This window comes from Homo sapiens, chromosome 11, assembly GCF_000001405.40.
Source record: "Homo sapiens chromosome 11, GRCh38.p14 Primary Assembly".
Classification (NCBI taxonomy): Eukaryota; Metazoa; Chordata; class Mammalia; order Primates; family Hominidae; genus Homo; species Homo sapiens.
Window position 1 is genome coordinate 16,156,986 of NC_000011.10, and position 24,883 is coordinate 16,181,868.

Genomic DNA, 24,883 nt, shown 5'->3' on the forward strand with positions numbered 1-24,883 from the left:
TCACTGCTCACTGATAATGAGCAGTGATTTATCATTGGTAAATATTTGTGTAATTAAATAAACACCTATCCTGTTGAACAGAGGTGTCAACTGTCAACCAATGCAGAAATGTGGGAGTTTGCTTAAATTTCTTCTTAGCTAAATCCAATTAATCATGAATTCTATAGATTTATTTCCTCAACATCACACAAACCCATCTCCTCATCTCTATTCCTACTTATACCTCCTTAGCCGAGATTCTGTCATTTCTTCCCTTTTGGATTACTTCAATAGTACCTCAAATGTTCTCCTTGTCTCTACTTTTAGCCTCCTCTTTTGAGGGGGCTAATATCCAAATCCTATCCAGTCTTTAATATCCAATATCTGTATTTCTAACTCAGACTCAATTTACAAGTTTCAAACCTATATATCCAACATCTAGTAAGTATATCTACCTGGATAATTCAGCATGTCAAAAATAAAACCCTTCACCTCACCCAGTCCTCCAAACCTGATTATCATCCTGTATTTACATGTTCTGTCCCCCAGATTTGGTTAATCATTTGGTTAAATGATTCATCCAAGATCACATACCAAATAGATATTCTCCACACTCTCATCAGAGTGATCTTTCTGAAAGGCAAATGTCATCCCATTCTCTTGCTTATATCCTTTAAACTATTGTTCTTAATTGGTCATAAAAGGTCCTTCAATATCTGGTGCATAGCTATACTCTAGCTTCATTTTGCCACACTTGTACTTGTTCACTTCATTCCAGCCTTACTGAGAAATGAATTTATTTGTAGTTCCCTAACATGCAATGTTCTTCATCTCTATGAATCTTTGTTCAGACTCTTCTCTCTGCCTGGACACCTTCCATCCTGGTTCACATTCCTTCTCCTACTTCAAAATTCAGATTCATATCAAATGTCACTTCTTTGAGCAAGCCTCCCTTACTCTATCAATTGGGATTAAATGCTCTTCCTCTGCACTTCTATGGCAGTCAGTGAATATATCTACCATAACACTTAGCACATTATATTGTTGCCATTTACTAGACTGTGAGCTTCCAAAGATAAGTAATTTATCTTTCTTTTTTTATTCTTGTTTCCAGCATAGTACCCAAAGACTAGTAGAAATTTAATAAGAAAACTTTATTAAACTCATTCAATTCAAAAATTGTTGAGTTAATCTCTATGCTGAAATTAAACACATCTCTTCATTCTTGGATACTTTCAATGCATCTAGACACTGTGCCACCAGCTCCTCTCAAATCCCCCCTTAGTTCCTTCCAATTTCTGTACCTTCTCAAAGCTAGTATTTCCAAAAGCCATCATACTCCTTGGTGTATATATTATGTTCTTGTGGCTTTCGTAGGGTATGACTCCCAGGTACAACTTGTTCTCTTCTGTTCAAAATGAAACTGATGCCAAAATGCAACAACAACAATTAGTGAATCTCATTAATAGATTTCTTTTCCCACATCTCCCAAGAGTCAACTTATCTTTATCTCAACTGTAATTTATATATAAAAATCATATGATAAATGTCCTGTTTCTTCATATTATTGGTAACACAAATGATGACTAAATGTGTATGCACATGAATATGTGTGGAGAGGGGGCACCCAGGCAAAATGAAGAAATTGTAGGCAAGGCTTCCAGGAGTAATAAAAAAATTCCTCTTATCTGCTTGTGGCTTTCCTGGGTGTTCTTTTAGGAATTCAGAAAAAAGATCTTGGTGAATGTGATATGGGAATTGATATAAAATTTTGCTCTATGTGAACTGACTCATCATTATTATTATGACTACACACTTTTTCAATTTATATTTGCCAAAGTATTTCTCTACACATTAACTCTAATAATTCTTGCATTAGTCCTATGTGCTTGAAGTTACAGGTGTGTGTGTGTGTGTGTGTGTGTGTGTGTGTATCTGTGTGTTTGTTATCTTTTTACAGAAAAGTCTCACAAAGGTTAAATGATTCATCCAAGATCACATGCCAAATAGATAGCAGAGCCAGACTTTGAAATTATTATTTTCACCATTTTCCATCTCCTTTCTTTGCAGGAGAAAGACAATGCAAATAGTCCCAATAAGCTCACCTTATACCTAAATCATATCTACCAATGATACTACAGAAATAAACACTTTTAAGAGAATACTATCATCAAACTGTTTATTAGTTTTTCTGCTGTTAGCCAAAATTATCTAATATTAATTCCTTATCCAAAATGACTTAATGCTCCCAGCTGTGTTTAAATCCTCTTTTCCTATCCCCTCCTCTAACTTAGACACAAATTAACACTAGCATGAGAACGCTAAAGATCAGTTCATTTGAGGATTCAAGACTTTAGGATAAATATTACTGTTTCTTATATTTCTTATCTTTTCTACCTACCTTATTTCTCAACATTTTCATACAGCTCTCCAAAACAGTTACGTGAAAATAAATTGGTGTTTGGTTTTAAAAAATACTTTGTTTCCTCCCTTTAATATTTTTATTTGGCCTTATAGTATCAGTAGGTAATTTGACAGAGAAATATTAGATGATGTGAACTTGTGAACTGATAGAAAAAATAAGGTAAAAAGACCTTTATGCAGTATTCTGAGTAATATAAAATCTAAAATATATACCTACAGATTTTAGTAACCTAATAACTATGCACACAACTTTGGAATCTTTTAAATTTTTGACCAGGGGAATTTTGGGTTAAATTTAAAATGTAATAAAGTTTGTAACATACACATTTACTAATAAAATAGTCTCCATTCTATTGACATTTATTGGCTTGCAGAACAATCAGACTTTTGATAAGTCTGTTTCTACCTATAAAAATCTACTTAATGCAACAGAACATTAGGTAGGTGAAACTTCATTATTACCAAATGTATGTAAAGTGGCAGAATTTGGAGGACAAGTACTAAAACATGGAGCAAAATTTCTAAAGCAGATTTTTTCATAACAGTTCTGCCGTAGACAAAGTCATGGGGTGGGAAACTCGGAAAGGGGACTAACATACCAGAAATGCAGGCCTCAATGGTATTGGCAAGACCTGATAAAATTGCCTTAGCATAATACTAACATATTGCATTAATGTAACGTACAAGGCTGCTGCAGATGGGGTTCTCTAAAAGCTACAAGATAGGTTTACGGTTTAAGGTACAAGATATTTACTAGGGAACAACACTTGTAAACAGGAAAGAGAAGAAGACAAGATTGGGCAGAGGAAGAAATTGAACTATAGTATTGGCCTAAGAATACTTCATCCAACTCAGCAGGAAGCCCTGAAGTCAGTGTCTAATTTCAAACCTGAAAGGCCCAAACTTCACATCCATGTCCTTCACTCAAATGGGAGAGCCTGGGAAGGATATGACCTGGGGTTAAGTGGCTCTCTGCAGCTCAGGCAAACTACAGGAGCTGACAGATGGAAGCTGTATGTTTTACAGTATTTCTGTGGCTGGGAAGCAAGTGCATCCTTAGTGATGTGTCTGGATAACACATGCCCATATATACCATAATGACTTATCTTAAATACCAGTTTGTGGCATTATGCTAAGTGTTGTAAAATTACTTTACGGGGTGGAGGCTAATGTGGTTTTTAACATGAAGGTGAAAAAATAATAATCCTTTATGTTAAAGCAGAGTAGTCTATAAGCCTGTCAAAGAACACAGAAAATACACTGTCAGAAATTATGGATTGAGGATAAAATGTAATTTAAGAATGTTTCATTTTCTTAAACTAGATTCTGTTCAGACTTCTAAATTTTTCTTCTTTCCTGAAGCCTACAAAAGCAGCACAGTGAGCCCAGGGGGCTAATTATTTCTGACCATGAATGACTTTAAAATATTTCTAAGTTACTAAAACATTTTTGGAACTGAGCTCTCTTTTTAAAATTCTTCAATTAATTCCAAATTCTCAAAAAAACTACAAGAAAGTTTTAAACTCTTGATCCAAAACCGATGATACTAGTTAAATAACATGCAGCCACTTTAGTTCAAGAATCAATGATTTAAATATTTGATTGCTTAGCTTTTTAATGTTTCTGTACTTTATCACACCCAGTTGAATGCTGGTAAATCAGCTTTCAAAAAAAAAGTGGGGGAGGGTGATATGGAGCATTTGCCAGTTTCCATGGTGTAAATGGTTGATTTCAATCCACCATGGTTGATTTCAACCTATAAACATGATGTCACTGGACAAGAAGTTGGGAAAAGATACACACAGTTGGTTCTTATGAGCCAGTGTGAGTTGGCTCCAGCACAACATTAGTACACCTATTTCTTTATTTTCTCTTTATTCTTGGATTGTGTGAGGACTGTAACACTTAAGATTTGACAATGAATTTGATATATATATATATATATCAGATATATATGTCTTATGTTTAAGATTATGTATAAAGTCATATATATAGTCTTGTATATATATATATATAGTCTTAGACATAAGAATTATTTTAGTAGCTAATAGGCTCTAGTAGCTGTTCCCCTAATCCAAATATTATGTCAAGTTTATTTAAAGTAGTAATGGAAACCAAATTACAACAACAAAAATCACATCCAATGCACATTCTGAAAAGGGCACAAAGAGTGGGATTCTGAACAGACAAAAGCAGGACAAAGGAAAAATGCTGACCTCCTTTACTAGCGCCACAAAACTCCTGCTGAGACAAAAAGCTGCTCCTCATAGTCAAGTCGGATCTCTACCATATAACACTCCTGGTGCTAAGTTTTCTCATTTTTCTTTTTTCTTCTGTCCTTTGACATAACTAGAACCTGGCACATGGTAGTACTTACTGAAAAAGTGAATTGCAGACATTTTCTTGTTCTCACTTGGCCTTGCCTTAGTGTGTTTCTCTGCCATTCACTGTTCCAACATACTAACTCATGGCAGGAGGCTAAAGTTAAGGATATTTTATCAGATTCTGGTTGTTTATGGTCCTCACTCTCTTATCCCTTCCTGGAACTATGAAAATAAATTAATAGACTATTCTGTTTCTTCCTTGTCCTAAATTTAATGCAAGGATTCTGTGCAATTATATATAATAGAGTTTTCAAGTCTTTCAATTTTTACATACAACTGTAATAATTGTTCCTTGCTTGGAAAAATCAAAACTTTAAGTTCAGGATGATGGATAGCAACTTCATCAAACTAGAAATCTGTGGAAATTTCCAAATTTTTACCCAGACATTCTTGCTTATAATTACAACTAGCTGCATCTTATATCCTTCAAAACAGAAAGAATTAGGTTCAGAATATTAAGATATCCATATAGGTCAGAATATTTTTATTTCTTTGAAGACCTTTAAAGTCCGATATTACAAAACCAACTCTGTCAGTAACTAGATGTTTTCAGGACATAACATGTGATCTTGGACAAGCAATACCCTTGATATAGTTTGGATATTTGTCCCCACCCAAATCTCATGTTGAATTATAATTCCCAACGTTGGAGGCAGGGCCTGGTGAGAGGTGTTTGGATCATGGGTGTGGATCCCACGTGGCTTGGTGCTGGCTTCACAATAGTGAGTTCTCATGAAATCTGGTCATTTAAAAGTGTGTGGCATCTCCCCCTCACACTCTCTTGCTCCTGCTTTCCCATGTGAGTTGCCAGCTCCACCTTTGACTTCCGTCATGATTGTAAGTTTCCTGAGGCTTCATAAAAAGCCAAGCAGATGCCCAGTGCCTTGCTTTCTGTACAGCCTGCAGAACCATGAGCCTTTTCTTTATAAATTACCCAGTCTCGAGTATTTATTTATATCAATTCAAGAATAGCCTAATATACCCCTTAAACAGATGATAGTCCATCTTTAACAGCCTTGGTTTTCTTAAGTGTAAAATGAGTGGTTTGAACTGAGTCAGTATTTTCCACGCTTTGTGGTTGTGACCAATTAGAAGGACAGAGTTGGCTTTTTAAAAATAGAATAGAATAGGGAAAATGAAAAAAGGGAAAGAAAAAAGGAAGAAAAGTGAGAAGAAAGAGGAAGGAGTATATGGGTAGAATGAGATTAAAGAAAGAAGAGAGTAGGGTGAATAAAGATGAGAGAGACAAGATAATAAAAAAGAATGAAAAAGAGTGGAAAGATAGTGTAAAAAGGGGAAAAGAAAAATAAAAGGATCAGATAAGAGTATGAAAAAAGAGGAGGGAAGAGAAAATAAAAAAGGAAGATAAAAAGAAAATATCTCATACAGAGAACATTACATGTTGTAAGACAAGTCTCATTTAATGAAATTTCTGTTTCTGTTATACACACATGTGTATGTATGTGCTATATGCATGTATTGGGTAGTGATGTGAAATGAACTTCTTACTGTGGTTGGTCTGAAAAAAGTTGAAAGTCAGTGATCTAAGTTCTCAAGGTCCCTTTCACCCAAAACAGTTTAAGATCCTATAGATTTTTACTATGCCTTTTATAAATGAATTTATTTAAAGGGATAACAAAATTATATTTATAGAAAATAAACATGTGGAAAGGATTGCAACTACTGATAGAATGTATAATCCTAACTTTTTAGAAGGTTAGGTAGCATTCATCAAACAATGGTCTAAACCAGGCTTTCTCAGCCAATATCTCAGGAAAAACAAAATCTGGAGGGGAAGAAAACAAACTCTTCCCACACATACTTTCCAAATCAAGTTTGAGGATGAAAAGTATCTCTCCCTTAAAGTGAAAAACAAATCTTGCTAATAAATCTTGACTAAAGTCCTAAGTTATAGGTTAAAGCATTCTTCTGGGGCCTTGACGCTACATGATTTTGGCTTCTAAGCCTAACCCAAAAGGAATGGCAATCCAAGCAAGATAGCAACCTGCACTATCTTCCTCTGTGGTTCCTGTGAACTGCAGTTAATCATGTGGTATGTATTTTGTCTTCTATGAAAAGTTGGGGCATTGACAGGTATATTTGTAACTCAACCATGGAACCAGGGCTAGTTCTACTTAAGGCCCTTTATTTCTGAAAGAGACAGGTTGCGAGACAAAGAAGAGCTGAGCCTCTAGAAATTCTTTTTCAGGTGTTTTGTTTTGTTTTGTTTTTGAGGCAAGGTCTCGCTCTGTCACCCAGTTTGGAGAGCTGTGGCATGATTTTGGCTCACTGCAGCTTCAAACTCCCAGGCTCAAGTGATCCCACCTCAGCCTACCCAGTAGCACCACCATGCTTGGGTAATTTTAATTCCTTTTTGTAGAGATGAAGGTCTCACTATGTTGCCCAGGCTGGTCTCAAACTCCTGGGCTCAAGCAATCTTCCTGCCTTCACTTTCCACAGTGTTAGGATTACAGGGGTGAGCCACCATGCCCAGCCTAGAAATTCTTAAATAGACATTAACTATACCTTGCTTAAAAGTGCTGTATGATACCATGTTCAATTTAAAGCAAATAAAATGTATGTAAAGTAGTGTCTTGCTTGTCTACCATTTCACTTTCCTCCATCAGAATCAGTGGATCTTCAGTATTTAACTGTTCAGTTTATAATAATTATTTTTGTACTTGTTTTCAAGATGTTCTGCAACTGTTCTCGCATTTTAAAATACATGGACATTTTGTCTCTCTGGCTCCTTTGAAAGTTCATGGAGAGGGCCGGGCACAGTGGCTCACGCCTGTAATCCCAGCAATTTGGGAGGCCGAGGCGGGCGGATCACGAGGTCAGGGGTTGAGACCAGCCTGGCCAACATAGTAAAACCCCGTCTCTACTAAACTACAAAAGAAATTAGCCAGGGGTAGTGGTGTGCACCTGTAATCCCAGCTACTTGGGAGGCTAAGGCAGGAGAATCACTTGAACCTGGGAGGCGAAAGGTGGTGAGCCGAGATCGCACCACTGCACTCCAGCCTGAGCAACAGAGCGAGACTTGGTATCAAAAAAAAAAAAAAAGAAAGAAAGAAAGAAAAAAGAAAGTCCACAGAGAGACAACAGTATGTCTCATATTTCCTGTATTGATTGACTTCATATAGCTAATTTCAGTCTTCTTACACAGAGCAGATATGCTTTAAGGCTGTGAAATTAACTGGTTCTTTTTATCTATATTGCTAACTGCAGCTTTTCCTATTGTTGATTACTAAAATAACAAATAGTAAAGCAGTTCTTTAAAAATCTACTTTTAGAGGAATGATTTTCAGTATATTTTCTCAGGAGTTCCAGCAAGTGTTACTGTTCTACTTGGTATTTGCAAGCCACAAATACTAACTTGAAAGCCATAAATACTACCATCGCATTTAAGGGATATACCCTTGATGTTGATAGAGCTAAAATACTTAATCTATGATCAGTCAACAAAGCTCATTAAAATTTTACTAAATTAAAAATCATTTTACTTAGTATGATTATTGCTCAAATGTCTCTCTTACTAAACTGTGAGTTTCTTAAAGGCAGAGACATTATCTTTTTCACCTTGGTACCTTTAGCTAAGAACTAAGGGACTTAAATGTTTAAAGAATTGAACTAAATCTACAACTCTCAAGATTTCTTATTTTAACATAATATACATAAGAATTATAGAAGTTAAAATGCTTAAAAAGATACCAGTCAGTAAACTAAGGCTGTAAAAACTATATCCCTTACTATTCCTTTCTGAAGTTTCCCCAAGGAACTACATAGCATTACTGATTTTCAAAAACTATAGTAAAGTTCAGTAATGCTAAATGACGAATCCTAGGCCAGGTGCAGTGGCTCACACCTGTAATCCCAGCACTTTGGGAGGCCAAGGCGGGCAGATCACTTGAGGTCAGGAGTTCAAGACCAGCCTGGCCAACATGGTGAAACCCTGTCTCTACTAAAAGTACAAAAATTAGCCAGGCATGGTGGCATGTGCCTGTAATCTCAGCTACTCAGGAGGCTGAGACATGAGAATCGCTTGAACCTGGGAGGTGGAGGTTGCAGTGAGCCAAGATGGCGCCACTGCACTACAGCCTGGGCAACAGAGCAAGACTCTGTCTCAAAAAAAAAAAAAAATCCTAAAAGACTAAATACATAGCATTTAAGGAGGTAATATTTGTAAAGGACTTATAAAAGTCCCTAGTATATAATAAGTACTCAATATTAGCTATGTATTTGAGCCCTTCTTAGAAATACAAATTATTCACTAATTTAGAGATAGAAATGAAGGACAATGAAACTGTAGTATAAATGTATACAGTCCAATTTGCTCTTTCTAGGCATTTTAATTAAGATCAGAGTCAACCCAAAAAGGAATTTAAGTGATTTTTTTTTAATGAACCAACTATGGACTGTTTATTTCACCCACATTACCAACTTTAATCAAGTAGGAATTTAACAGCTGATTAATCAGCAAACATCTCCGAATTGGATAGACTTTACCTCAGTCAAAAGATCAAACCAAATCCTAAGTTTCCAACATTCTGTTTAATTCATAGCACTATTAACTAAATATTTTAGTACAATTTGTTTCATATGTGTGCTTCTGCAATATTTGCTTCAATAAGTGATGAACATATAATGGAAGAAAAAAATAACTTTGAATGTTTCCTTCTTTGTCCATTAAAATGATTTAAGATTTCAACTATTCAATTCAACAACATCTCCCATGTGCAAAGTATCAAACTAGGCATGTTGGGAATACAAAAATGAATACGACCTCAGACTTCAGGTAGGCTATGATCTTGTAGGAGGGACAAGACATGAATGAACAGCTAAAATACAATGCATGTAGTATGTGCTATTTAAAAGGCCCAAGGGACTGTGGAAGCTCAGAAGAGAAAGAGATAACCTTGACTGAGTCAGGGGAAAGCAGTGGTGGTGATCAGTGAAGGCTTCATGGAACCAGGCCATAATGAAATTCTAGGCTTTAAAAAGACAAAGATAAATGTGAGGAAAATGGGTATTCCAAGTAGAAAAAACATTATGACAACTGATTTGGAGATGTGAAAGTATGAGTCGTGTTCTGAAAATTATACACAGACAAGTTTATTAACTAGTACAAAGTAAAGCTAGAAATAGCTTTACTGAGAGTAGGAACCATGTTATGGAGGGCCATGAACATTAGGCTAAAAACACTGAACTTTGAAAACTACGCATACATTGACACTCTCAAATGTACATTTTCAGTCCTTATCTGTCCTCTGAATTCCAGTCATGTATGTCCTACTGCTTACTCAATATCTCCAAACGGATCTCTAATAAGTATTTCAACAAAATAGTTCAACACTAAACTTTTGATATTCTCCCTCCAACTTCCAGACCCTCACTCACTGCTGATATCTGTTCTTCTTACAGCTTTTCCAGTGAATGGCAGAATCTCAGTGAATGTCAACTCCATTTTTCTAGTTGCTTAGGTCAAAATCCTTGACTTTCCTCTCTCCTTTTCACTCTAAATCTCGTTGGCTTTGCTCTTACAATATATCTAGAATTGACTTCTCACTATTAACCTGGTCCAAGTTACCAACACTTTGCCTAAAATGCCTTCTCATGGTCTCCCTCCTTCTACCCTTCCACCCTTTCGTCTAATTGCAACACAGTAGCCAGAATGAGCCTGTCAAAACCCAAGTCAGGGCACGCCGTTCTTTCCAATGGTCTCCCATCCCATTTGAAGACTAAAGTCCTTACAACGATGTAAAAGATCATCTGTGTTCTCATTTCCTACTCTTTTCTCTTTCGTTCACTCACTAAAATTACCCCTACCCTGGCCAGCCATACTGTCCCTGATGCTCCTTAGCTAAAGCTAGCAAGCCCCCATCAGCTAGCATGCTCTGCTGTTTCCTCTGCCCTGGAAGGATCTTTCTCCTGATATGCGTATGACTTGCTTCTTCCATTCCTGTGGGTCTTTTCTTAAATACTACCTTCTCCCTTAAGTACGTACCCACACACCCTATTTAAAATTGCAGTACCTCTTTCCCATTCCCTTTCCTCCTTCCCTGCTTTTTCTCCATAGCAGTTCTTGTAGTGTGCAGTAATTTTACTTATCTATTTAATGCCTGCCTCCCCACAGTGGAATGTAAACTTAGCAGAGCAGGGATTTTTGTAGATTGCCATATCCTCAAAGACCAAAGGAGTATCAGAAACATAACAACTGCTTAATGAAAGTTTGTCAAATCAAAATCATAGTCAATAGGACACCATTGGAGATATCTCAACAGAAAAGAAACACAATGAGAAGTTGACTTTAGGAAGAATATTCTGGAATAGACATATAAATTGGAAAGGGACAAACTAAAGTGGGGGAGACAATTTCAGACTGTTTCAGCAGTTTTGGCATGACATAACATGAATCTAATGTGATAAGAGGTATTTTGAGGTAAATTAGACTAGAATTGGCAATTCTATGATGCATAAAGGAAAAATAGGTATCAAATATGATTTGGAGTGATGACGTCATTTATAAGAACAGGAAGTATAAAAATAGAGGCAGGTTTATAAAGAAATGATATTGTTCATTTTGGATAACATCTTAAATAATAAAGGGAAAGCAAGCTTAACCTAATTAATTCATGTCATAAATAAGGGTCCTAGAATTTTTTGTGACTCTCATTTCTGAAGTCCCTACTGTTTCTCATATTCAGATGCACTTCAATTCTGGAACAAATATAGCTTAGACATTAGTTTAAGTGGTTTGGAACATGTTATTTCTACTAAAATATACTTTCTTATGGAAACCACTATATTTCTGGGTAGAAAGCAAGGATGCTAAGGAAAAGCACCTGGGAGGAAATGGCTTTTACTTTTTTCTTCTCCAAGTCACATAGTCACCATTTCACATTCTAAGTAAAGATACCACCCCATATCCTTCAGAGTTAGGTCATCATGGCTGTACACAAGGCTCAGACACTTTCAGAAGTTATTTATACTCTAGTAGAAATAGGCATGCAGGTGGAAATTATGGTTTTTTTGCTACAACTGCTAATAGCATATGAAAAATCTGATTCATTCACAAAGACCACTTTGATAATGAGATGTAACCAAGTTATCGGTCAGCTGTCCATCATTACAAATCAAATCAACAATTTCTTCGCCTTTTCTATCATGCCACACACAGCTACCATGTACAGCAGAATGTTGTTCCCATGAAATGATACTGTTGCGTGTCTGACTTTGTGCCAAACTTCCATATTTGAGGATTTCCTAATTTTTCTATATTAAAAAGTCAAAATGTAAGCTTGTAATATTTGGGGAATTTTTAACAAATTTATTGTAAACACTCTAAAATTATGTCATTTATTTTATTTCAGATCCATTTTTATTCTTAAAACATAGAAGTTTAGAGTTGGAAGAGCCCTTCATTTATAGATAATGCTTCTTTGTAAATAATTCAAATAACTGGTACATCCTGCTTTAAAACCATACAAAATAGATGAATCAGAAGACAATTATTGTTTGCATTTAAGTAGTCCTATCATTATAATATAATATGATATAAAAGTTGCAGCACAAATACATTTAAATGTTTATAGATCATTACCTGCTAAAAGAAGTTACTAAGCTTGAAAGGAAAAGTACAGAAATTTAAATATCAGTAGTCAAAAATTAAGATAAATGGCTAATGAGGATTATAATACAAGTTGAAAGGGAAAATGATCAAGTTTACAAAGTCTTTTTTAAAAAATATGAGTGATGAAAGTAGAGACATACCTGTAACCTCTTACATATACCCCTTTAACAGATGGATTTTCTTCTAGAAATTGAAACAAACTAAGAGAATCATAGCCAAACACTCACAGAAAATGTTGAAATAAAGATTCCCTCCATATTTTAAGCAATTACTGTCTAAAGAAAGGATTCACAGTGTTGCCAAGGATGCTGCTTAGTAAATAGTTTAAATTCCTTCCACTTGAGACAGAAAAGATCCAAAGTATATTAGTCTTTCCCCTCCCCCTCTAGTGAATTAATATTCCATGATATACACCACCATGAGGTGCTGATGGGGGCACCTCTTTTCAATGAACAGAGATCAGCAAATGGCTATTTCACAAAAAATTAAAATACACCCTTGTAATTTTAATGTGTGTTTATGTAAAAAAAAAAAAAGTGGTAGATTCATGTTAATAAACCTTGCTTAGGGAAAAAATAAAATAGTTGCTAAGCCATCGTGAGTAATTAGCCTTTTAGCATCCCCTTTCTTCAAGAATGCTTCCTCCTGTGTTGGTTCTTTTAAATAGCTCCAGTCCTGGCTGTCTTTGTTGGGCTTCGAAATTGTTCACATATGAGAGAAATTAAGCCCTCATTTAACAGAGACACATGCCTGTCAAGACCAGAGGAACAAAGACTAGTCCCTGGGGCCTGTTCAGCTCCCAGAGGCTGCTACTCATTCTGTTAGCAATGTGTATAAAACCTTTACAGAATGTGTATAAAACCCAATAAATCATTTCATCTGCTGTGCTTAATACATGAGAGCTCTAACCACTTTTCAAAGTGTTTTCTCTTTCTTATACAACTTCACAGCTACTTAGTCTTAAAAAAAAAAAACCTTTCTATCATTCATTTTTTTCAGAATGCAATGACTTTTTTAGTCAAAAACATAATGAGAATGTCCCCAGTCGGCATAAAAGAAGAAGCTTATCTTTTTAGATTTCTTGCCAGATATCTTTCCCACATTTTATGGTTAATAATTAGAATACTCATTTTGTAAAGTGACGGTACATCTCCCAGCTGCTTTTAAACCTAGCTTTGGAAGCTAGCCCTGGCAAAACTGAAATGGTTAAGGACCCGAATGGGACGGACTTGCTGTCCTCTTCAAATTCAATACATTTTGTCCCTTTGGAACACAGGGGCACATGTTCTGTCAAGGTGGAGATTAAAACTACTGCGTAACAGCTCTTTTAACTAGGCAAGGGAAATGGTCTTCTTATAAGCCCAACTAAAATACCCTTTGTGCATTCTCATTTCCAAAGAAAATATGGTGCTCTTTTGAAAAAAGACCACATTATCATTTATGTACAAATCAATCCTATACTGTCCCCTGCTTCATTTCCCACCTATTTCTCCCCCTACGGAAAAACATGAAGGCTATGGGAAAAGATTAAAGACCAGACTTTAAAAGCCCTCCAGTTTAGACCTACCCTTATCCAAAGTAGAGTAAGGAAGGTCTGTGGAGAAATGAGTATTTGTCCATAATTATTAAAATAAATACTTCATTTAAAAGTAAAATGCTGTTTAACCTGATTGTGTTGCATGTAGAGCAAACTTACCAAGGAGTTACTCTAGCAAAGATAATCTTTCCACAGAAACACTGGGAGTTCCAGGGCTAACAGCTTCAATCCTCAAGATGCTGTGAACCCCCAAAATAATAAGAAGCTGGTAGCACAAGAAACTTCACCCTACTCAGCAGGGGGAGAAAAAGCAGATCTGGATTTGATAAGTAAAACCAGATCTACCCAATGGTTATATGGTAAAGCCCTGCAATTAATGGGGAACATAAACAGTCCAAGAAGCCAGTATTGTAGTAGTTTCTCCACAATTGGTTTCATTCATATCTAGTTAGATATTAATCAGATGCATAACTGGCACAAATGCTCTGTACAAACACAGAACGGTACACGTGTCTGGTTATTAAAAAATGAAATAGAGTACATCAGACTCTTTTACATTCATATTTTTGTATCCCAAATGATTTATCATTTTTAAATAATATCTTTTTTTAAATTTTAAACCACAAATCACATCCTGCAGGCCTTAGCAAAGGCAGATGTCAGGATGTGGTAGTACAACAAAATAAATTAAATAACCCTTGAAAAAATAAAACAAAGTTTATTTATAAAAAATGACATTAAGGTGAACTGCCTAATAAGAACATGGATTTGCTTAAATAAAACATTATATGGTTCTGTTTTGGATTCATCCCTAAAGCCCTGAAAGATATTAGAATTTTAGTGAGTAATTACCCTATTTACTACAAACAAAATGGGAGGAAATCAGAAAACCGTATTAAGCTCTACCACACATCAGAAATGAAATTCTCTCATTTTTAAATCCTGCGACCCAATAAATTGTAGTTGGAAAATGTACTGGGACTAGAAATTGAAACTTAACAAGTTAGAAATGAAGAAATGGCCAAAAGAATATCCATATCAACATTATCCTTCAAGCAGGAGACCCAGTTCTAGAAAGCATAACTGAGAAGTCTCCCTTCACAGCTTAAGTGTTTTGAGACTGCCTGAACCCACCCCCGACACTCAACACCACCCCCACAGTTAGACAAAGTTCTAGCCACTTAACACATCTCTTTTCAAATGAAAATGCAACACTTGGGGTGAAAACAAGAGAGACTAGGAAAAGGTGTTATGTGCTATATATGCCACTGACATAATACTTCAAAAGGATATGCAGTAATTTCCTGCAATTAATACCTTAGCAAAGCTATAAGGATTTGTTTCCAAAAATTATGATATTTCACTTGCAACACTAAAATTAAGTTTGTGTCACTCTTTCCATTATATAGCCGTAATGTCAGGAGTTTGTCACTGGCTGCAGAAATGTGTTTGCTGTTCCCTGAAAGCAGGCCTTTACAGGCCCTCTTCTTAAATGTATTTTTCTAAAAATCACCTACAGCCATTATTTCATGGGGCAAGCATTACAAGCCATCACAATACTTCACAAAGGAAACCTGAATTTGATCTCATCATTCCAGACCCTTCAATGGTTTGAAATGGAAACATCCTCCTAAGAGGACACGTCTTATGCTATGGCCAAACTTGACGTTTGCCTTTGAGCTTCCTAAGCACGACTATCTACTGCTCTCCTTTTTTAAAGTAACAGAGTCAATTCCTGTCATCTAGAATCAGAGGCCAGAGTTGCAAGGAACTTCAGTGATAATCCTGAACAATAATCCTTCTTCAAATATATGGAAAATGAAAAGGCAGAAAAGTCATTTGCTGCAGGACAGGTAGTTGCTAGCAGAACAAAGACTAGGCAGGCATAGACATCCTGAGTTCAAGTCTAGGCTACTTTCTGTCAACTAATCTAATCATCTTTCTGTCATTGTTCTAATACTATTTCGTCTCCAAGTTGGGGCTGCAGACTTTACATAAGAGTGAGAAGAACAACTTCTGCTGAGAGTAGATCAGTTATCATCTCCATGCCTTTTTTTTCCTGGGCTTGAAATTGTGGCCTCCCAGAGCCAAAGAGGACGTATAAGTCTATGGAATTTACTGTGTTCCAGGAAAAGCTGGTTGGGAGGATAAGAGTTAGAAACATGTATAGATATCAGTAAAACAGACTGAAAGCATTGGCAAGATCTATGCCTACATAGAAAAGTGAAGTTAGGCTCTTGAAGTTGGCATCCACACAACTGCTTTTCTGTTAAAGTTTTCTGATTTAGTTCCAATGTGGATTGTTAGGTCCACTGGTCTTTGAGAGGGCCCTCTCATGGACTCCATCTTAGAACTGGAGTATATCCTTGGAACTTCTAAGCTCCTGGGGGGTTTCTTTTGGGAGGGAGGTTTCAGACCATTGTTGATTCCATAGAAGAAGTAACCTAAGCTCTATGTTTAGGACCTTGGCCTCCATATCAATGCAGTATCTTTCCTTCTCAGTAAGACTGACAGTAGAGACCCAAATTTGTAATACACTCTATATATCAAGTGGTTAAGTATATGATGTTTAGGGCAAATGTCTTTGAGTATTAAAATTATTTGTATTAATTTTCTTGCTTTGGGTTTTTAGTTTTTTTGTTTTTTTTTTTTAAACTACTAGAAAAGTGTTTGTTTTTTTTAAAGAAACTACTAGACAAGAAAAACTACTAGTAAATTTTTTATTTAGAAACCACTGGAAAAGAAAAATTACTAGAAAAGAAGTTTTAAAACTAAAAAACTAGAGCAAGAAAAGTAGTCAAAATAACTTTACTACTCAAAGACATTTTTTCTGTAGTTTTTTCTTAAATTTCTAACATATATGGCTTTTGTATATTAAAAAAGTTGAAATTTTTATATTATTTATTTATTTTATTTCATTATTGATTTAGAGACAGAGTCTTTCTCCATAGCCCAGGATGGAGTGCAGTGATCATAGCTCAATGCAGCCTAAAACTCCTGTGCTCAAGAGATCCCCCTACCTCAGCCTCCCAAGTAGCTAGGACTACAGATGCATGCCATCACACCCAGTTAATTTTTAACCTTTCCTTTGTTTCTTTTTTTTTTTTTTTTGTCCATGAGTGGAGAGTCAAATTCTCACCTCTCAGACAAAAATGGGCTTTGCTATTAGATCCATAGTGCTTGTGAAGTTAGAAGGATGGTAAATGAACCTTTCCAATTTATTTTATAGCATTTTAAACACAGTTGAAGTTATGAAGCCACTGCAGAAAACTCAACTGCAGACATTTTAAGAGAAAAATTTTCCACTGAAACATACATGTATCAAAAGTTAGAGTCCAGACTACAACCTGACTGAGGATGTACTCAACCCTTAATTCTGACTATGAATTCCTTAACTTTCATTGTTTGATATTACAACTTTAACATTTTCTTAATGGATTGAGCAGTGGATAAAAGTAATTCAGCTTCTTACAGGAGATACTATACTTTTTGCATCATTTATTTGCTGTTATTTTGTACAAGTAAAAATCCATGACTCTAACATTAATAACTTTGAGTGGGAAGTTACTATATGTGAATTAAAAATGGTTATGTCAGTACATCCCCTCAGCATTTAAAAGATATTTCCCTGTGCTATATCAAGTGTCACATAGTATATCAATTTTTATTTCCCATCTCTCAAGTCTGGTATGCATACTGTTTAACTTCTTAAATTCTAAGTATAGACATAATTCACAAAAGCTAGGCAAATGCTTGACTTACAGGAGATGGCATACATAAGATTTATATGAACAACTTTATTTTCAGCAAGAAGGACTTTTGCATTTTGTGCAGCTAAAACACATAATTTCAACTGTCTTTAAAAAGCTATAAAATAAATTGGAAAGGTTCATTTACCATCCTTCTAACTTCACAAGCACTATGAATCTAATAGCAAAGCCCATTTTAGTCTGAGAGGTGAGAATTTGACTCTGTTTTTTGAAAATAAAATGTTATGCTCTCTTTTATACAATCTCCAAGCTGCTCTAATACTTGGTCAACCATTTCTGAGTGCCTGACAAACCTTACTCTCACTCACTGACAGTTGAAAAGCTCTCGTTTGGCAGCCAGGGAAAATTGTTGCACTTTATTTTCCTCTGTACTATCATGGTGATAATAATTGATTATAGTACCTACACATTGATTATTCTATATTCACATCACTAATTTGTGGGTTCTAAATATGCATGTGTGTATAGATACAAATGTGTGTATATGTGCACATGTAGAATATGTACATGAAGGTTTCTCTATTAGAAACTCTGAAATTATTCCTATACCTAGTCATACAAGAACAAAAACAACAATGATAGTGGTATGTATTATGCTTAAGCAATTACTAGGGGTTTTATATAATTATCTCAAAGCTACTGTAAGGTATTGTAATTATCTTTAGGAATTAGGAAATACAGGCTGAGAGACATTAAGTAACTTGTCTTACAGCTACTAAGTAACAAAACAGACTACAGCGCTAACAGGTAGTGGAATTGTTATTTAAACCCTAATTTATTTATCTCCAATACCTGCACTGGTTCTATAAAATTTTTAAATTACATACATTCCGAAATAACACATCTTATTCTCTACATCTTTTGTTTATATGTACAAATTTACTTAAAAGTAGATTCAGAGTCATACATTCCTTACATATGTCAGGATGCAAGATTTTTTCTATGTCTTAAAGTTTTAAAAAACACTTTTAAAAAATGGGTTGATGTTTGTGTTAAAATTTATTCTGTTTAGAAAGTTAAAAGCCAAATGGCATCTGAGATTTTATTTTCTAACTTTTTTGTCTTATTTTTGTCTTATTTTGTGCTTCATTTTTTTCATACACCTTCTCCAAAAGACACAGACCTTCTGATGTCTATACAATTTTAGCTTGCCAATATCCTCATAGACAAATAAAAATCAAGTTATTAGAAAAACTAACTAAATTTATTTAAATTGTTTAAACCATGGTCCATTAAAAGCTTTCTAGCTAGTAAGTAAAACAGCTATGACCAAAATGAAAAGTATATTTTAACTCATCATGAACTATTTAAGGTATACTCCAACCCTCAGGATGGATGGATGGACGGACAGACGGACGGACGGATGGATGGATGGATGGATGGATGGATGGATGGATGGATGAGACAGAGAGAGAGAGAGAGAGAGATTCAACCTAAATCTAAACAACTTAGCATTAACCTTTAATCATTTAATCTTCATTACCCTGTATAGAGCAGTATTTTTCCATTCTGATTACCCACTAGAATCATCTATAAACTTTTCAATACTCTCCATGCTCAGACTGTATCCAAGACCAATTAAATAAAAATCTTTGGGATAGGCATCAGTATTTTTAACAAGATTCCAAGTGATTACAAGGGACAACCAAGGTTGAGAACCACTAGCATGGAATGCTGTCACTCACTGCTCACATTCATCAGATGAAGAAGGTAGTTATAAAAAAAAGTTATTAATATTAAAGGTGTCTGACCCTCAGTATAGTGACACATCACGTTAAAGCCCTCAGGAAGTAGTATAATTAACTGTCTAAAAGGTTCATATGTAAACACCAAAAGAGTCACCCAGCCATATACACACCTCCCATTGCACTACAAAAAGATTCCAATTATATTCTTTTTATCTCTTGCCTTGTAGGTATATACCCACAGCTATAGTAGTTCTAAGGGTAGAGAGAGTCTAGTGGCAAATTTTCTATTTTTTCTATTTAAGGATAAAGAGAATGTAATGACATTTTAGATGTTAGGTATTATTAGACACATTTTGTAAACTAGGAAACTGAAGTGCAGTAAGATTTATTCAAGTCACAAAAAGGGCAAATGGAGAAAGGATCTGAAATACTGGAAACAGTGCTCCATCAGGCATCAAGAAACCTGGGTTCCCCTTGTGGCTCTGATAATACTTGCTTTTTAAGCTCAGACAAGCCTCTGGTCTATACCTCAGTTTCCTCGTGTAATCTAAAGGCTTTGGACTAGATTAAGCATGCCCAAAGGTTTTATATATCATAGATCAGCAAAATTTCAAAGACAAGCAAAAGTGGAGACTTACATATAGTTGGGAACTTTTTATTTTACCAAATAAAACTATTGAAAAACAAAGAAAGCACATACCACCTATTATCACCAATACTTCATAGAAAGGACATTTTAATTCCCCAAAAGGTGGAAAAACATAATCTCAGGGTTATTTTAAAGTATGGCTTATGATAAACTTACTATATTGTCTTCAACATGGATAGCTACCTATTCTCCCTCTATCCAGTGAATGAGAATCATGATGACGTTTTCGAGTTTAACATTCTGTGAAAGTGCTGGCAGGGTAGAGGGGGAATGTTTAATACAACTCTTACTGTAGTACTCTTTCAAGGGTTCCCCAAAATTCCATTAGAGAACTATCTTCATAATTTTGTCATATCCAAGTACCTAATTACTATTTGCTTAAGATTTTAATTTGACTTTTTCTTTTGGTGTATATACACTTCAAAAGGAAACTTCATATTATACTTCAAATAGAAAATTAAAATCACCTGCCGTAAATAGAAGCTAACCAGATAACCATGTAAAGGAAAACATTAAATTTATTTAAATTCCAGCTGACTGCCATATTGCATCCAAAGGCTCTGAGAATAAGATGATCTCTCTCTCTCTCTCTCTCTCTCTCTCATTCTCTCTCTCTCTCTCTGATTTTAGTACATACTAGAAGAGTATTAAAGACTAACATTAAACTGAGCCCTCAATATAATGAGAAGGATCAAGGAAAAAAAAAATAGAAGAGAGACATTTTCCTATTCAGTATTATGTAATGTCACATGCTGGCCTCACCTGGAACATCTGGCCCACTCTGCTGCACCTCACTCTGCCTCTGAAGAGGTAAGGCACTCTTCCACTTTAATTCCGGAAAGAAGCAGAGACTGGTTTCCCTGAATTTTTAGTACCACTGGTTTGGGAGAGAGCTGGGGAGTACAGTGCAGTCTAAGAGATAAGCACAGATAGAGAAGGGCGGGTTGTGTAGAGACTGAAGTAACTGAAGGATAGCGCAGAAAAAGCTTTGAGATTCACCTTCAGGTTTTGGTATGCTGAATGAGATCTTTGCCATAAGGCCACACTCGGAAAAACAGGTAACTAGCTGATTCCATTGAGTAGCTCTTGGGATCTGGTCAGTTCTCTTATTTTTAGGCGCATTCCAACTATAACAAACAGTCTAGCATGACTAATGTGGAAAAACTAAAGTGTAGTTTTAGTTCACAACAAGAATTTGTAATTTTTGCTGTTATAGCCCTTGCTAGTCATAATTATAGCAGCTTTACCTATTCTTTATAACCCAGAAACTTTATTATTAAAATGTTTGAAGCAGACTATAGAGCATCTATCATGACTTTTAAAGTTAATTAGATTACATAAAAGAAATAATTAGATTTGCATTTTTATCTTGGTTTTAAACATCCAAAGATCACAACAGCCTGCCTGTGGGCAATTAAAAACAGCATACAGCAGAGACATAGAGAGAGGAAAGAGGGTCTGTTTTTCCTGGCTAATTCATGATTGAAGATAGAATTACAAAATATTTTAAGGGCTTGCGGAAGCTAGGGGCTAATCCTAGACTTCTAAGCTTTGTTTATACCCCTCATTTCTTTGCAAGGGAGTATCATATGTATGTACAGTGCCAATAGAAGTATCAAATTACTTTCAATAGGTTTATTTAGTCCTTTTCAGAGAAAGTTGGAAGGAGATCCATTACCTGATCAATAACATACAAAAAACGACTATTTGCCAGAGCCAAAACAGGAGCACTGTAATTGCATTTTGTTCATCAATGATAAATACAAATAACAAAGAAATACAACCTAAGACAGAGGGACTATGTGGGATTGAAGTCAGCTTCTGACTGTCCTCGGTTTTTCTGTTGGGTGCTCCAGCCATTTCCAAAAGACAATAAATGGAAGGTGCAGCTCTTAAAATTAGAGGTCAATTAGATACTTAATGATGAAACATATCTCCAATATATATCTATTATTATTATGCTAGCAAAAAATTAATTAACTAGGTCAAGCAGGTCATGAAGGCTAATGTACAAAGCAATTATTTCTGATCTTTAGACAACTACTTCACATAAAAAGGTAGTCCTTTATTCTGCTCAGCAGATACCTGAAATGCCTGTAGTTAATCATATTGAAGGAAACAAAAGGTAAGGTCTATCTCCTTAAAAGGTGAGAGGACATCTCAAGTTATTATGTTTAATTGTTTAAGGACAATCACTTCCTTGCTGATAATATTAGCATCTTTCTGGTTACCAAAAAGGAAGAAAGGATAACACACATTTAATGATGCTCTACCACGTGGGAAACATACAGACTCACAAAATATATAAATAGCACACAGGAATATATTATAATCAAAATTAAAAACACTGTATATGAAAGATAATCATATATGCTTAAGAACAGAGTACAACTTCAGTGAAGTAATGAACACTGGTTTGGGTAAAAGAAAATAAGCAATATGTATTTCAACATTTAAAAGAAAAAGTTTTCAGATAAGACAAAGAATATTTGCAAAGACGCAGCAATGGCATTTAGTTCAGGCCTTCTACAAATAAAGTTTGCCATCTAATGCATATGTTAAATGATGAGGGGAGGGCAATGAATATTGCACATTAATCATAAAGAAAACAAGGCACTAAAAATTTCAAGTCTCACGATTTTACCCAAAAAAGACACATGTGTATGAATTGACTAAATCATTGGCCCTTGCCCAGAAAGCCAAATGCCTAAATAAAACCCCATCCAGCCAGTCCATTCTTAAGAGATCGTTGTTTAGTTAGTTATGTGAGGAGAGGACACTGCCTATATAGCTCACAATATAAGCCACTTGAATAACTCTAAAATTGGAGTCTGAAGAGACACAAATAATTGGATAATACTATTCATCCCTGGAAAAGGAAGTTTCTCACAGAGATATTTTAATGAGCTGAATTCTTTTGCAAAGACTCAGTTCTAGTTGCAAAATTCCATCGTTAAATGTGTTCCTATTGATGTGCTATAGAAACCAAAGAATGTGGTATATTGGATCCATAAAAAAAATCTCCAGATTCAAAACCATGGCCTGGTCAAATGAGGTTAGATGAATAAATATGTGAAAAAAATCAAGAAATGAGGATTTATAAAATATTTTCTGTTTTGCCTAGAATTGTCTTATATTTAATCATTGATTAAAATACTGTAAACATGCTTTGATCTGTTTACAACTGTCAAATTAATTAAAAGTGAATTCTGTTTACCAGTTAGCATAACTCAGAAGTAAAATGCTTCGAAATATTAGCTAAGATACTACAGTTCAATGAGTGGGAGGGGGAGGATGAAATTACTGAAGCAGTTATCTTTCCTTTGAAATTACAGCCTATGAATCAATATTCCCAACTCCAAAGATCCATATTCCATGACCTATTAGTTTTGCTTTCCATAGACTTGGTAAAAAATATGCTATTTCTGTCCTGGAAATATCAAAAATATCTATTTTTTTCCTGGGCTCCATATCAGGAGAATTACTTCACATGTAAAAAATTAGAGAAATCATCATTTTCCCCAAAGCACAGAGGGATCTGAATTTACAAAGCAAACATTCTCCGAAAAGACCTAATATTAAAGTGATATTTTAATAATCATTTATAATTATTATCCTGATTTATTAAAAGGTAAAAATGGACTCATCAAAACTATAAAAACAGTTCACAAAATCATACATCTTACTTTTCCAACACGGTTTACTTGGCTTTAGAAGAATCTATTTAAAAGTTTAGTTAGAATTTACGAAGGCAAAATAATGTTAAAAAATATATTCAAGGAAGACATATAAATAAAATTGTTCTTAACTGCACATATAAGTTCTGAATAATTGCAAATAAAATAAACATGGGAACTTTTACAATACTATCTTAATCATGCCTTTTCCTATTTCTAATGAAAAATCCTGTTTTTCAATTTGTGGAAGCCATTCATTCATTTTCATTTGTTTCCATTATAATAGACCCAGATGTGTCTGTGTGGGGTTGTTACAAGAGGTTAGGCACTCTTCCCTTTGTTTCTATTAAAGCTTGCAAATTGGGGGGAAAAAAACAGTACTATTTCAGAAGACAGCATTCTAAACTAGAGGAACGATTTTGAATGCAACCACCTCATACTCATGACCCATAGCCAGTTGCCATGATTTAATCTTGCTGACCATGTAAGCTAATAGGTTCTAGGACTCAAGATATAAAAAGAAAAAAAAAGTGTCAAACTTGCTCAAATTGTCTCTGTATTCATCATTTGCTTTTGAAAGAGAAGTTAAGTTTCATTTTTAATATATTTAATAATCTTTAATTCACCTTTAATAATTTTGTTTTATCCTTTGTTCTGTTTTGGGTTCAAATGAGAAAGTGTTTCTTTTTTTGATAGAAAAAAAATGTTTGAAGCATCCCTCAAGTCTCATATTTTGCTCAGAAAGCATTTAAAATTAATCCAACAATAATCTCTCTCTTAAATTTGATTAAATTTCAAAAGCCATATTTGAAAATATAGTTACCCTTTCCCCTTCCAAAAAAAAAAAAAAAGAAAGTCTGAATGTCAAATACCTGTTTTGTAAGTCTCAGAGATGAATACATTTTGTGATTTTGTGTAAGGAGTACGTGTTTTTCAGCATTTGAAAAATTTTTTGAATGGTCTCACATGTAGAAGGTAAATACTGACAAGATATGCCATAAAGCAGTAGCTCAGGACAGAATGAACTATAAATACAGGTCTTATTGCTTTCTCTTATTTTTTAAAAAATTTGAGTTCTTATTACAAAGAATCTTATATTTCTAAAGTGAATGTAACTCTGACATTGACTATCTTTATTTTATAAT

At 34.9% G+C, this 24,883-nt stretch overlaps 1 protein-coding gene across 6 annotated transcripts in view, besides 5 other annotated features; it reads right to left on the minus strand.

Moving 5' to 3' along the window:
* The window catches only part of SOX6 (SRY-box transcription factor 6), a 772,029-nt gene that overhangs the window by 190,537 nt on the left and 556,609 nt on the right, over window positions 1-24,883 (minus strand). The window lies entirely within an intron of this gene.
* Window positions 12,334-13,922: an enhancer, noted in NCBI's record as "VISTA enhancer hs1720". NCBI's record gives its function as "enhancer in: branchial arch[5/8]" and the evidence as "EXISTENCE:transgenic organism evidence [ECO:0001131][PMID:17130149]".
* Window positions 20,728-20,872: an enhancer, noted in NCBI's record as "145 bp 11:16199331 sequence used in MPRA reporter constructs". NCBI's record gives its function as "activates a minimal TATA-containing promoter with rs7108091 allelic activity by MPRAs in C283T melanocytes and UACC903 melanoma cells {active_cell/tissue: C283T | UACC903}" and the evidence as "EXISTENCE:reporter gene assay evidence [ECO:0000049][PMID:36423637]".
* Window position 20,800: a transcriptional cis regulatory region, noted in NCBI's record as "rs7108091 or 11:16199331 MPRA-significant variant associated with a GWAS melanoma risk locus at 11p15.2". NCBI's record gives its function as "allelic transcriptional activity by MPRAs in C283T melanocytes and UACC903 melanoma cells {active_cell/tissue: C283T | UACC903}" and the evidence as "EXISTENCE:reporter gene assay evidence [ECO:0000049][PMID:36423637]".
* Window positions 21,841-21,985: an enhancer, noted in NCBI's record as "145 bp 11:16200444 sequence used in MPRA reporter constructs". NCBI's record gives its function as "activates a minimal TATA-containing promoter with rs1455104 allelic activity by MPRAs in C283T melanocytes {active_cell/tissue: C283T}" and the evidence as "EXISTENCE:reporter gene assay evidence [ECO:0000049][PMID:36423637]".
* Window position 21,913: a transcriptional cis regulatory region, noted in NCBI's record as "rs1455104 or 11:16200444 MPRA-significant variant associated with a GWAS melanoma risk locus at 11p15.2". NCBI's record gives its function as "allelic transcriptional activity by MPRAs in C283T melanocytes {active_cell/tissue: C283T}" and the evidence as "EXISTENCE:reporter gene assay evidence [ECO:0000049][PMID:36423637]".